The sequence below is a fragment of the Homo sapiens genome, chromosome 1 (assembly GCF_000001405.40).
Source record: "Homo sapiens chromosome 1, GRCh38.p14 Primary Assembly".
NCBI lineage: Eukaryota > Metazoa > Chordata > Mammalia > Primates > Hominidae > Homo > Homo sapiens.
Genome location: NC_000001.11, coordinates 23982206 through 23995878, shown reverse-complemented (window position 1 = coordinate 23995878; position 13673 = coordinate 23982206). Strand labels below are relative to the sequence as shown.

General features: G+C 49.7%; 1 long non-coding RNA gene across 1 annotated transcript; it reads left to right on the top strand.

The window, feature by feature from the left end:
• The first annotated feature begins 8090 nt into the window (after positions 1 to 8090).
• LOC105378615 (uncharacterized) lies at positions 8091 to 8471 on the top strand. The gene is made up of 2 exons (XR_947070.1): positions 8091 to 8135; positions 8347 to 8471. It is a non-coding gene; the product is annotated as an uncharacterized LOC105378615 (long non-coding RNA).
• Positions 8472 to 13673: the final 5202 nt, after the last annotated feature.

Sequence of the window (13673 nt, the reverse complement as noted above, 5' to 3'; positions counted from 1 at the left end):
TCTGCCTCCTGGGTTCAAGCGATTCTCCTGCCTCAGCCTCCTGAGTAGCTGGGATTACAGGCACCCGCCACCACGCCCGGCTAATGTTTGTATTTTTAGTAGAGATGGGGTTTCACCACGTTGGCCAGGGTGGTCACTAACTCCTGAACTCAGGTAATCCACCCATCTCGGCCTCCCAAAGTGGTGGGATTACAGCCGTGAGCCCCCCCGCCCCCGCGCCCCGAGAACTCTGTGTTTTTCCCCTACTCTCATACCACAACAACCACGTCAACACAAAAGATTTCTGTGACCAAATGAGTCGGTTTTTTCCCACACACACCAAGCAGCAGACACCAGCTGGGTGTTCTCCAATTCGGCTCTAACACTATGTACCCTAAGACAGTGCCAGATCCCACAGGTTGAGGGCTCAGTCCCCAAGACTGCCCCTACCCCCAACAATACATACAAACATCAGTCATAAGTCCAGGCCTCCAGAACTTCTGACCAACCAGCTTCAAGTTGAGGTTCCCATGACCCCCTCTTTGAGTTCAATTAATTTGCTGGAGCGGCTCACAGAATTCAGAGAAACACTTACATTTACTGGTTTATTATATAGGATATTGCCAGGGATACAGAAGAAGGGACATGTAAGGCAAGGTATGGGGGAAGGGGCTCAGAGCTTCCATGGCCTCCCTGGTTGTGCCACCCTTCAGGAGGCTCCACTTTTTCAAGTATCCAGAAGCTCCTGAACCCTGTCCTCGTGGATTTTCACGGAGGCTTCATGACATCAGCATTCCTTACCTCAGGGTATAGGATGGGACCCTCTTATGGGAGGGTCTTAAGACCCACAATCAGTCTTTGCCGCCGCGCCGGCGAGCGCCGCCCGGGAGGCAGCGGCTGGAGGAGCGGACGGGCCCCGCGGGGCCCGAGGGCAAGGAGCAGCCGCCGGCCTTGGCCTCCCAAAGTGCCGAGATTGCAGCCTCTGCCTGGCTGCCACCCCGTCTGGGAAGTGAGGAGTGTTTCTGCCTGGCCGCCCATCGTCTGGGATGTGAGGAGCCCCTCTGCCTGGCTGCCCAGTCTGGAAAGTGAGGAGCGTCTCCGCCCGGCCGCCATCCCATCTAGGAAGTGAGGAGCGCCTCTTCCCAGCCGCCATCCCATCTAGGAAGTGAGGAGCGTCTCTGCCCGGCCGCCCATCGTCTGAGATGTGGGGAGCGCCTCTGCCCCGCCGCCCCATCTGGGATGTGAGGAGCGCCTCTGCCCGGCCGAGACCCCGTCTGGGAGGTGAGGAGCGTCTCTGCCCGGCCGCCCCGTCTGAGAAGTGAGGAGACCCTCTGCCTGGCAACCACCCCGTCTGAGAAGTGAGGAGCCCCTCCGCCCGGCAGCTGCCCCGTCTGAGAAGTGAGGAGCCTCTCCACCCGGCAGCCACCCCATCTGGGAAGTGAGGAGCGTCTCCGCCCGGCAGCCACCCCGTCCGGGAGGGAGGTGGGGGGGGGTCAGCCTCCCGCCCGGCCAGCCGCCCCATCCGGGAGGGAGGTGGGGGGTCAGCCCCCCCGCCCGGCCAGCCGTGCCATCCGGGAGGGAGGTGGGGGGGTCAGCCCCCCGCCTGGCCAGCCATGCCGTCCGGGAGGGAGGTGGGGGGGTCAGCCCCCCGCCCGGCCAGCCGCCCCGTCCGGGAGGTGAGGGGCGCCTCTGCCCGGCCGCCCCTACTGGGAAGTGAGGAGCCCCTCAGCCCGGCCAGCCACCCCGTCCGGGAGGGAGATGGGGGGGTCAGCCACCCCACCCGGCCAGCCGCCCCGTCCGGGAGGGAGGTGGGGGGGTCAGCCCCCCGCCCGGCCAGCCGCCCCGTCCGGGAGGGAGGTTGGGGGGTCAGCCCTCCGCCCGGCCAGCCGCCCCGTCTGGGAGGTGAGGGGCACCTCTGCCCGGCCGCCCCTACTGGGAAGTGAGGAGCCCCTCTGCCCGGCCAGCCGCCCCGTCCGGGAGGGAGGTGGGGGGGTCGGCCCCCCGCCCGGCCAGCCGCCCCGTCCGGGAGGGAGGTGGGGAGGTCGGCCCCCCGCCCGGCCAGCCGCCCCGTCCGGGAGGGAGGTGGGGGGGTCGGCCCCCCGCCCGGCCAGCCGCCCCGTCCGGGAGGGAGGTGGGGGGGTCGGCCCCCCGCCCGGCCAGCCGCCCCGTCCGGGAGGGAGGTGGGGGGGTCGGCCCCCCGCCCGGCCAGCCGCCCCGTCCGGGAGGGAGGTGGGGGGGGTCAGCCCCCCCGCCCGGCCAGCCTCCCCGTCCGGGAGGTGAGGGGCGCCTCTGCCCGGCCGCCCCTACTGGGAAGTGAGGAGCCCCTCTGCCCGGCCAGCCGCCCCGTCCGGGAGGGAGGTGGGGGTGTCAGCCCCCCGCCCAGCCAGCCGCCCCGTCCGGGAGCGAGGTGGGGGGGGTCAGCCCCCCTGCCCGGCCAGCCTCCCCGTCCGGGAGGTGAGGGGCGCCTCTGCCCGGCCGCCCCTACTGGGAAGTGAGGAGCCCCTCTGCCCGGCCAGCCGCCCCGTCCGGGAGGGAGGTGGGGGGGGTCAGCCCCCCCGCCAGGCCAGCCGCCCCGTCCGGGAGGTGAGGGGCGCCTCTGCCCGGCCGCCCCTACTGGGAAGTGAGGAGCCCCTCTGCCCGGCCACCACCCCGTCTGGGAGGTGTGCCCAACAGCTCATTGAGAACGGGCCAGGATGACAATGGCGGCTTTGTGGAATAGAAAGGCGGGAAAGGTGGGGAAAAGACTGAGAAATCGGATGGTTGCCCTGTCTGTGTAGAAAGAAGTAGACATGGGAGACTTTTCATTTTGTTCTGCACTAAGAAAAATTCCTCTGCCTTGGGATCCTGTTGATCTGTGACCTTACCCCCAACCCTGTGCTCTCTGAAACATGTGCTGTGTCCACTCAGGGTTAAATGGATTAAGGGCGGTGCAAGATGTGCTTTGTTAAACAGATGCTTGAAGGCAGCATGCTCGTTAAGAGTCATCACCAATCCCTAATCTCAAGTAATCAGGGACACAAACACTGCGGAAGGCCGCAGGGTCCTCTGCCTAGGAAAACCAGAGACCTTTGTTCACTTGTTTATCTGCTGACCTTCCCTCCACTATTGTCCCATGACCCTGCCAAATCCCCCTCTGTGAGAAACACCCAAGAATTATCAATAAAAAAATAAATTAAAAAAAAAAAAAAAAAAAGACCCACAATCAGTTGGGCCAGGCACTAACACTTTGGGAGGGCGAGGCAGGTGGGTCATCTGAGGTCAGGAGTTCGAGACCAGCCTGGCCAACATGGCGAAACCCCATCTCTACTATAAATACAAAAATTAGCCAGGCATGGTGGCAGGCGCCTGTAATCCTAGCTACTGGGGAGGCCGAGTCAGGAGAATTGCTTGAACCCAGGAGGTGGAGGTTGCAGTGAGCTGAGATTACGCCATTGCGCTCCAGCCTGGGCGACAAGAGTGAGACTCAGTTTCAAAAAAAAAAAAAAAAGGGCCAGGCACGGTGGCTTGCGTCTATAATCCCAGCATTTTGGGAGGCCAAGGCGGGCAGATCACCTGAGGTTGGGAGTTTGAGACCAGCCTGACGAACATGGAGCAATCCTATCTCAACTAAAAATACAAAATTAGTCGGGCTTGGTGGCGGGCACCTATAATCCCAGCTACTCAGGAGGCTGAGGCAGGAGAATCGCTTGAACCCGGGAGGCGGAGGTTACAGCGAGCTGAGATCACGTCATTGCACTCCAGCTTGGGCAGTAAGAGCGAAACTCCATCTCATTAAAAAAAAAAAAAAAGAAGAAGAAGAAGAAAGAAAGAAACCACAATCAGAAAGGGTCAGGGTTCATTCTTCACAGAACTAGAAAAAAAATTCTAAAATTCGTGTGGAACCAAAAAGACCCCATATAGGCAAAACAGAACTAAGCAACAAGAACGAATCTGGAGGCATCACTGTACCTGATTTCAAACTATACTACAAGGCCATACTCACCAAAACCACATGATACTGGTATAAAAATAGGCACATAGACCAATGGAACAGAATAGAGAACACATAAATAAACTCAAATACTTACAGCCAACCGATCTTCAACAAAGCAAACAAAATCATAAAGTAGGGAAAGGACACCCTTTTCAACAATGGTGCTGGGGTAATTGGCTGTCCACTTGTAGGAGAATGAGACTGGATCCTCATCTCTCACCTTATACAAAAATCAACTCGGGCCGGGCGCGGTGGCTCACGCCTGTAATCTGAGCACTTTGGGAGGCTGAGGCGGGCGGATCACAAGGTCAGGAGATCGAGACCACGGTGAAACCCCATCTCTACTAAAAATACAAAAAATTAGCTGGGCGCAGTGGCAGGCGCCTGTAGTCCCAGCTACTCGGGAGGCTGAGGCAGGAGAATGGCGTGAACCCGGGAGGCGGAGCTTGCAATGAGCTGAGATCGCGCCACTGCACTCCAGCCTGGGCGACAGAGCAAGACTCCGTCTCAAAAAAAAAAAAAAAAAAAATCAACTCAAGATGGATTAAGGACTTAAATCTAAGACTTGAAACTATAAAAATTCTAGAAGATAACATTGGAAAAGCCCTTCTAGACATTGGCTTAGACAATTTCATGACCAAGAACCCAAAAGCAAATGCAATAAAAACAAAGATAAACAGCTGGGACTTAATTAAACTAAAGAGTTTGTGCACAGCAAAAGGAACAGTCAGCAGAGTAAATAGACAACCCATAGAATGGGAGAAAATCTTCACTAACTATACATCTGACAAAGGACTAATATCCAGAATCTACAACAAACTCAAACAAATCAGCAAGAAAAAAACAATCCCATCAAAAAGTGGGCTAAGGGCCAGGCAGGGTGGCTCACGCCTGTAATCCCAGCACTTGGGGAGGCCGAGGTAGGCAGATCACCTGAGGTGAGGAGTTTGAGACCAGCATGGCCAACATGGCAAAACTCCATCTCTACTACAAATACAAAAAATCAACTGGGCGTAGTGGCACGCACCAGTAATCCCAGCTACTCGGGAAGCTAAGGCAGGAGAATCACTTGAACCTGGGAGGCAGAGGTTGCAGTGAGCCGAGATCACTGCACTCCAGCCTGGGCAACAGAGTGAGACTCTGTCTCAAAAAAAAAAAAAAAATGGTCTAAGGACACAAATAGACAATTCTTAAAAGAAGATACACAAATGGTCAATAAACATTATGAAAAAATGTTCAACATCACTAATGATCAGGAAATGCAAATCAAAACCACAAGTAACTCCTGTTACTTGCAGGAGTAAGTAACAACCTTACTCCTGCAAGAATTGCCATAATCAAAAAATAAAAAAAAAACGGTAGATGTTGGAGTGGATGCTGTGATCAGAGAACACCTCTACACTGCTGGTGGGAATGTAAACTAGTACAGTGACTATGGAAAACAGTGTGGAGATCCCTTAAAGAACTAAAAGTAGAACCACCATTTGATCCAGCAATCCCACTACTGTGTATCTACCCAGAGGAAAAGAAGTCATTATACAAAAAAGATACTTGCACACGTATGATTATAGCAGCACAATTTGCAATTGCAAAATCGTGGAACCAACCCAAATGCCCATCAATCAACAAGTAGAAAAAGAAACTGTGATAGATAGATAGATGATAGATAGATAGATAGATAGATAGATAGATAATGATTGAATACTACTCAGCCATAAAGAGGAATGAATTAATGGCATTCACAGTGACCTGGATGAGATTGGAGACTATTATTCTAAGTAAAGTAACTCAGGAATGGAAAACCAGACATCGTATGTTTTCATTGATATGTGGGAGCTAAGCTATGAGGATACAAAGGCATAAAAATGATACAATGGACTTTGGGGACTTGGGGGGAAGGGTGGGAGAGAGGTGAGGGATAAAAGACAACAAATAGGGTATAGTGTAAACTGCTCAGGTGATGGGTGCACCCAAATCTCACAAATCACCACTAAAGAACTTACTCATCTGCCGAGTGCGGTGGCTCACACCTGTAATCCCAGCACTTTGGGAGGCCAAGGCAGGCAGATCACCTGAGGTCAGGAGTTCAAGACCAGCCTGGCCAACATGGGCAAACCCTGTCTCCGCTAAAAACACAAAAAATTAGCCAGGCGTGGTGGTGCACACCTGTAATCCCAGCTACTCAGGAGGCTGAGGCAGGAGGATTGCTTGAAGCTGGGAAGTGGAGGTTGCAGTGAGCTGAAATCATGTCACTGCACTCCAGCCTGGGCAACAGAGCTAGACTCCGTCTCAAAAAAAAAATTATAGCTCAATGAATGTAATTTAATAATATAATCTAATTTTAACTAAACTCATCTTCACCAAATGGATAAGTGGCTTTACAGGCTTCCTTCAAACAACTGTAGTTTGCAGATAATATGTAGGCACAGCAGCCAGCTGGCAGTTTTCTAGAACAAACTCTCCCACTCACTTGCGGTGTGGGCTGGGGTGCATCCCTCCCTTCCTGCCTATAAAGTGAGGAGATTAAACCAGATCAGTAGTCTTTTATAGGCGGTTCCACCCTCCAGGTATGGTTTTGTTGTTGTTGTTGTTTTTTGTTTGGAGATTGAGTCTCACTCTTTAGCCCAGGTTGGAGTGCAGTGGCACAATCATAGCTCACTGCAGCCTCAACCTCCTGGGCTCAAGCAATCTTCCTTCTCAACTTCCTGAGTAGCTGGAACTGTAGTCATGTGCCACCATGCCCAGCTATTTTTTTTTTTTTCTGTAGAGGGGGCCTCTGCTATGTTAATCGGTTGAACTCCTGGGCTCAAGCAATCCTCCTGCCTCAGCCTCCAAAATGCTGGGATTACAGGATAAGCCACTGCACCTTAACTTGTTTTTTTCTGTTTTTTTTTTCCTCTCCCCAACATGAGACAAGACAGATACAATTCTATATATTGGATTTCTGATAATAATTTGTTTGAAAAAGAAGCTTTGTGGCCTTTTAAGGATGACTGAAATCCATTAACAGGATGACCTCTATACATTTTTTTTTAAAAACAGGGTCTCCCTCTGTCACGCAGGCTGGAGCATAGTGGTACAATCATGGCTTACTGCAGCTTCAACCTCTTGAGCTCAAGTGATCCTCCCACCTCAGCCTTCCTAGTAGGGGGGACTACAGGTGTGTGCCACCGTGCCTAATTATTTTTTCAGAGGTAGGGTCTCAGTATGTTGCCCAGGTTGGTTTTGAACTCCTGGCCTTAAGCAGTCCTCCCACCTCGGCCTGGTTTCAACATTCTCACACAGTCATGCATGGCTTAATGGTGGGGATTTTTTTCTGAAAAACGCATCATTAGGCAATTTCATCAATGTCCAAACATCAAAGTATACTTACACAAACCTAGATGATATAGGATATTGCTCCTAGGCCACAAACTTGAACAGCATGTTACTGTACTGAATATTATAGTCAACTGTAACACAGTGACCATGTTGGCCAGGCTGGTCTCAAACTCCTGACCTCAAATGATCTGCCTGCCTCAGTCTCTCAAAGTGCTGGGATTACAGGTGTGAGCCACTGCACCTGGCCCAGAGGCTGCTTTACAGTTAACTTTCTAATATATAAATAGAAGGAGTACACTCTAAACTATACTTTTTAGTAGTTATTAAAAACTATTAATACTAATATTATATGTGTATATATTGTAACCCATAAATATATATATCCTATGTATCCCCAAAAATTAAAAACAAAAAGTTATACAAAATAAAAAGCATAGTATAGTAAATACATAAACCAGTAACATAATCATTTATTATCATTATCAAGTATTATGTACTGTACATAATTGTATATGCTATACTTCTTTATTTTTTGAGACAGGATCTCATTCCCACCTTGGCCTCCCAAAGCACTGGGATTACAGGTGTAGGCCACCATGCCTGGCCTATGCTATACTTTTATACAACTGACAGCCCAGTAGGTTTATTTACACCAGCAACACCACATAACAATAATGACATTAACTTATGACATTAAGACAGCTATGACATCGCTATAATTCTATAATCTTTATAATCAGCTCATTATAATCTCATGGGAGCCCCATTGTATATAGGTGGGGTCCCCAAACCCCAGGCCACAGACCAGTACCAGTCTGCGGCCTGTTAGGAAGTAGGCCACACCACCAGAGGTGATCAGCGGGTGAGCAAGCGAAGCTTCATCTGTATTTACAGCCACCCCCCATCACTTGCATTACCACCTGAGCTCCACCTCCTGTCAGATTGGTGGCAGCATTAGATTCTCATAGGAGCACGAACCCTACTGTGAACTGCGCACGCGAGGGATCTAGGTTGCACGCTCCTTATGAGAATCTAATGCCTGATGATCTGTCACTGTCTCCTATTACCCCCAGATAGGACCGCCTAGTTGCAAGAAAACAAGCTCAGAGCTCCCACCGATTCTACACTATGATGAGCTATATAATTATTTCATTATATAATACAGCTTAATAATAATATAAATAAAGCGCACAATATATGTAATGTACTTGAATCATCCTGAAACCATCCCCCATCCTTGATCCATGGAAAAACTGTCTTCCATGAAACTGGTCCCTGGTAGGGAGGTGGCGGGTCAGCCCCCGCCTGGCCAGCCGCCCCGTCCGGGAGGCAGGTGGGGGTTCAGCCCCCGCCCGGCCAGCCGCCCCTTCCGGGAGGGAGGTGGGGGTTCAGCCCCCACCCGGCCAGCCGCCCCGTCCGGGAGGGAGGTGGGGGTCAGCCCCCACCCGGCCAGCCGCCCCGTCCGAGAGGGAGGTGGGGGGCGCCTCTGCCCGGCCGCCCCTTCTGGGAAGTGAGGAGCCCCTCTGCCCGGCCACCACCCCGTCTGGGAGGTGTACCCAACAGCTCATTGAGAACGGGCCATGATGACGATGGCGGTTTTGTGGAATAGAAAAGGGGGAAAGGTGGGGAAAAGATAGAGAAATCAGATTGTTACTGTGTCTGTGTAGAAAGAAGTAGACATGGGAGACTTCATTTTGTTCTGTACTGGGAGGGGTTCTTCTGCCTTGGGATGCTGTTGATCTGTGACCTTGCCCCCAGCCCTGTGCTCTCTGGGGCATGTGCGGTGTCCACTCAGGGTTAAATGGATTAAGGGCGGTGCAAGATGTGCTTTGTTAAATAGATGCTTGAAGGCAGCATGCTCGTTAAGAGTCATCATCACTCCCTAATCTCAAGTACCCAGGGACACAAACACTGTGGAAGGCCGCAGGGTCCTCTGCCTAGGAAAACCAGAGATCTTTGTTCACTTGTTTATCTGCTGACCTTCCCTCCACTATTGTCCTATGACCCTGCCAAATCCCCCTCTGTGAGAAACACCCAAGAATGATCAATAAAAAAAAAAAAAGAAAAGAAATAGCTAAACAAGCCAATAAAATATAAAGCTAGGATAACTAATCCATTTGAATAAGACAGCATAGAGCATCCAGAAATGACCCAAATACATAAAGTGGCATTTCAAATCAATGGAGAAGGGAGGGTGTCATAGTTCGCGCCTGTCATCCCAACACTTTGAGGCAAAGGTGGGAAAATTGCTTGAGGTCAGGAGTTTGAAACCCGTCTCTACAAAAATTTAAAAAATTAGCTAGGCATGATGGCACATGCCTGCAGTCCTACCTGTTAATACTTGGGAGGCTGAGGTAGGAGAATTACTTGAGCCCAGGAGCTTGAGGGTGTAGTGCACTATGATCGCACCACTGCACTCCAGCCTGGGTGATGGAGTGAGATCCTGACTCTAAAAAATAAAAAGGGGCAATGGTAGGTTATCCAGAATTGTATTGTAGTATAGGGTAGCCCACTGGAAAAAATAAATTCAAATCCCTATCTCACAAGTTTCATTGAAAGAGATTTCACACAAGCAAAGATTTAAATGTAATAAATAAATGAACCTATAAAACTATTACAAAACAAACAAACAAACAAAAAAAAGAAACTGGTCCCTGGTGCCAAAAAGGTTGGAGACTACTGGTATACAGGGCCAATTATTGACCAAAACCTTGTTATGAAGCCCATGATTGTATTTATTCAGTTCTTTCCCATGCCCTTTGTTACATGATACCAATTGTTACATGTTAGCCTAGATAACCAGGCTACAAAGAACAGTAAGCCTTGAGAATTCTATAAAGTCTTAAGGTAAAGGTTCTTACCTTTTCTCAGCCCCTACACGCACTCCTTGGTAAATCAGAGCTCCCTGATCTACTTTTCCAGGGAGATGTCATGTAGCATTTAAGAGTCAGACTCTAGGTCGGGCGTGGTGGCTCACACCTGTAATCCTAGCACTTTGGGAGGCCAAGGTGGGCAGATCGCTTCAAGTCAGGAGTTCGAGACCAGCCGGGCCAACATGGTGAAACTTCGTCTCTATTTAAAGTACAAAAATTAGCTGGGCATGGTGGCAGGCGCCTGTAATCCCAGCTACTCAAGAGGCTGAGGGAGGAGAATCCAGGAGGCGGAGTTTGCAGGGAACTGAGATCACGCCACTGCACTCCAGTCTGGGTGACAAGAGCAAAACTCCTTCTCAAAATAATAATAATAATCGAAGTTTTAATAGCAATTAGTTCTGAGTGGTAGGATAACAGGTGATTTTTGTTTCCTTTATATTTTTCATCTCCAAAGTTTTAACATGTATAACTAGGAAAAGTGTTATTTTAAGGCATTAAGCCAGAAGTAGTGTCTCACACCTGTAATCTCAACACTTTGGGAGGCCTCGGTGGGAGGACAGCTTGAGCCCAGGAGTTCAAGATGGGCCTGGGTAATGTAGTGAGACTCCATCTCTACAAAAAATTAGAAAAAAAAAATTAGTGGGGCGTGGTGGCTTGCGTCTCAGTCTCAGCTACTTGGGAGGCTGAGGTGGGATGATCTCTTGAGCCTGGGAGGTCAAGGCTGCAATAAGTCATGACTCTGCCACTGCATTCCAGGCTGGGCAACAGAGCGAGACCCTGTCTCAAAAAAATAAAAATTAAAAAAATAATGTGGTGAAAAAATATGTCCATTAGCCATGAATTCTCCCACAGAGCAAAATTAGTCAGAGCAGGGGTTGAAAGGTGAGCCTGCACATAGATATTAATAAATTGATAAATGTGTACATATGTATGTGCCCAAAAGTTTCCAACTCACAAGTAAAGGAATGTTTAAATGAGAACACTGAGTTCTCGCAGTCTGAAGAACTTGGCTTGCTGCCCACTCACTAGAGTGAGGCAGCTTATAGGAAATACCAGGCATGTCTTATCAAACAAATTAAATGAACATGCTTCTAATTGATTGTTTGCTCATGGAGACAGAGACACAACACCAAGCACTGTCTGTGGCAGTTGTCTGAATTAAGCAATTGTACCAATAAAATTAATGTTGTATTGACTCAAGGCTTTGGTTCTGCCTATGGAGTCAGGCTCAGAATTCCACTGACTTAACACACAGTATTTGTCCCTGTGAGTCTCCTTCCAGCAAGCAGAATGGCTCAATGAGTGTGCCATTACCCACAAATCAAGGAAGAACTATTTCAGGATCAAGGAAATTCAGTTATATTGTTTACATTTGGGTTTTATTTGTGCAGTTCTGAGAACAGTACCAAGGAAAGTGGTTTTCTAACATAAATCTCAATAAAACATAGTGTCTTCAAGAAGAGGTGCAGCACCCAACAGATCATTTTCAGAAATTAACATTTGGAGGCCAAGTGCAGGGGCTCACACCTGTAATCCCAGCAATTTGGGAGGCTGACGCAGGATGATTGCTTGAGCCCAGGAGTTCGAGACCAGCCTGAGCAATATAGTAAAACTCGTCTCTACAAAAACCTTACAGAATTAGCCAAGCATGGTGGCACGAACCTGTAGTCCCAGCTACTAGGGAGGCTGAGGTGGGAGGATCATTTGAGCCTGGGAGGTGGAGGTTGCAGTGAGCTGTGATCGCACCACTATACTCCAGACAGAGCAAGACTGTCTCAAAAAAAAAAAAAAAAAAAAACAAGGAAAGAAAGAAAAGAAGAAAGAGGCCGGGCACGGTGGCTCATGCTTGTAATGCCAGCACTTCGGGAGGCTGAGACGTGTGGATCATGAGGTCAGGAGTTTGAGACCAGCCTGGCCAACATGGTGAAACCCCATCTCTACTAAAAATACAAAAACTTAGCCAGGTGAGGTGGCGGGCATCTGTAATCCCAGCTACTTGGGAGGCTGAGGCAGAAGAATCGCTTGAACCCGGGAGGCAGAGGTTGCAGTGAGCCGAGATCCTACCACTGCACTCCAGCCTGGGCGACAGAGCAAGACTCCATCTCTAAAAAAAGGGAAAGAAGGAAAATAAAGAAAGAGAGAGAGAGAACTTATCATTTGGGTCTTCAGAAAAATTACCGGCCCTGGTGTTATACTCAGAATTAAATACAGTGCTCTTAGCACACTGGGCAGCACTTCCGGGATGCGATGTTGCGCTTCCAAAATCCCTTAGTGTATCTTCCCTTGTCCCTGTCCCCCAACCCCCAGCAGATTTGTAGTTTGGTAAATTACCCAGCTCAAGCCCTATCTCTGGCAGAAAGGAGTTCACTCTCTCTCTCTACTTTTCCCAGCATCATCTTTTTCTAGGTTCTGGGATCCTACAGCAGAAAACATCAAAGGGCACTTTGTGGGCTGGGCACAATGGCTCACGCCTGTAATCCCAGCACTTTGGAAGGCCGAGGTGGGTGAATTATTTAAGGTCAGGAGTTCGAGACTAGCTTGGCCAACATGGTGAAACCCCACCTCTACTAAAAATACAAAAATTAGCCGGGCGTGGTGGCACATGCCTGTAATTCCAGCTACTGGGGAGGCTGAGGCAGGAGAATCACTGGAACCCGGGAGGAAGAGGTTGCAGCGAGCTGAGACTGCACCACTACATTCAAGCCTGGGCGACAGAGCGAGACTCCATCTCAAAAAAAAAAAAAAAAAAAGGGACACTTTGAGTGTGAGGCGGAAAGCAATTCTGGTGAGTAAATATATGTCCCTCAGTTGCCTGTATTATTTCTCAAGGCATTATGAATAATAATAATTGCTGGCATTCAGGGCCAGCTTCTTGAGCGTGCTACTTGTGCACTGGAATGGGCCCCATGCTCAGAAGGACCCTGCACTTGGCTTAGTACTCTGCGATTGTCGTTTTGAATTTCTTAATAAATATTGAATGAAGGGCCTTGCATTTTCATGTTGTACTGGGCCCCTGTGATCCTGTTAACATTTTAGGGCACTTTCTATGCATCAGACTCCATTCTAAATCTTCACCCTATTAAACATGAGTGGCTGGAGTAGCACCAGACAGTGTAAATTTCCTCCATTACTTAAGGTAATTTGCAGGACTCTGTTTTCTTGCCACTGAAAGTATTTAACTGAGAGGGGCAGGGGAGACACTTGCTCAGCAAGGCCTTCCTAGGCAAACCTGTTTTAAAAATTAAAAACAAGGCCGGGGGCACAGTGGCTCACACCTGTAATTTCAGCACTTTGGAAGGCCAAGGCAGGCGGATCAATTAGGTCAGGAGTTTGAGACCAGCCTGGCCAACATGGTGAAAACCCATCTCTACTGAAAACAGAAAAATTAGCCAGGCATGGTGGCAGGAGCCTGTAGTCCCAGCTACTCGGGAGGCTGACGTAGGTGAATCGCTTGAACCCAGGAGGCGGAGGCTGCAGTAAGCCAAGATCCAGCCACTGCATTCACGCCTGGTCAACAGAGCAAGACT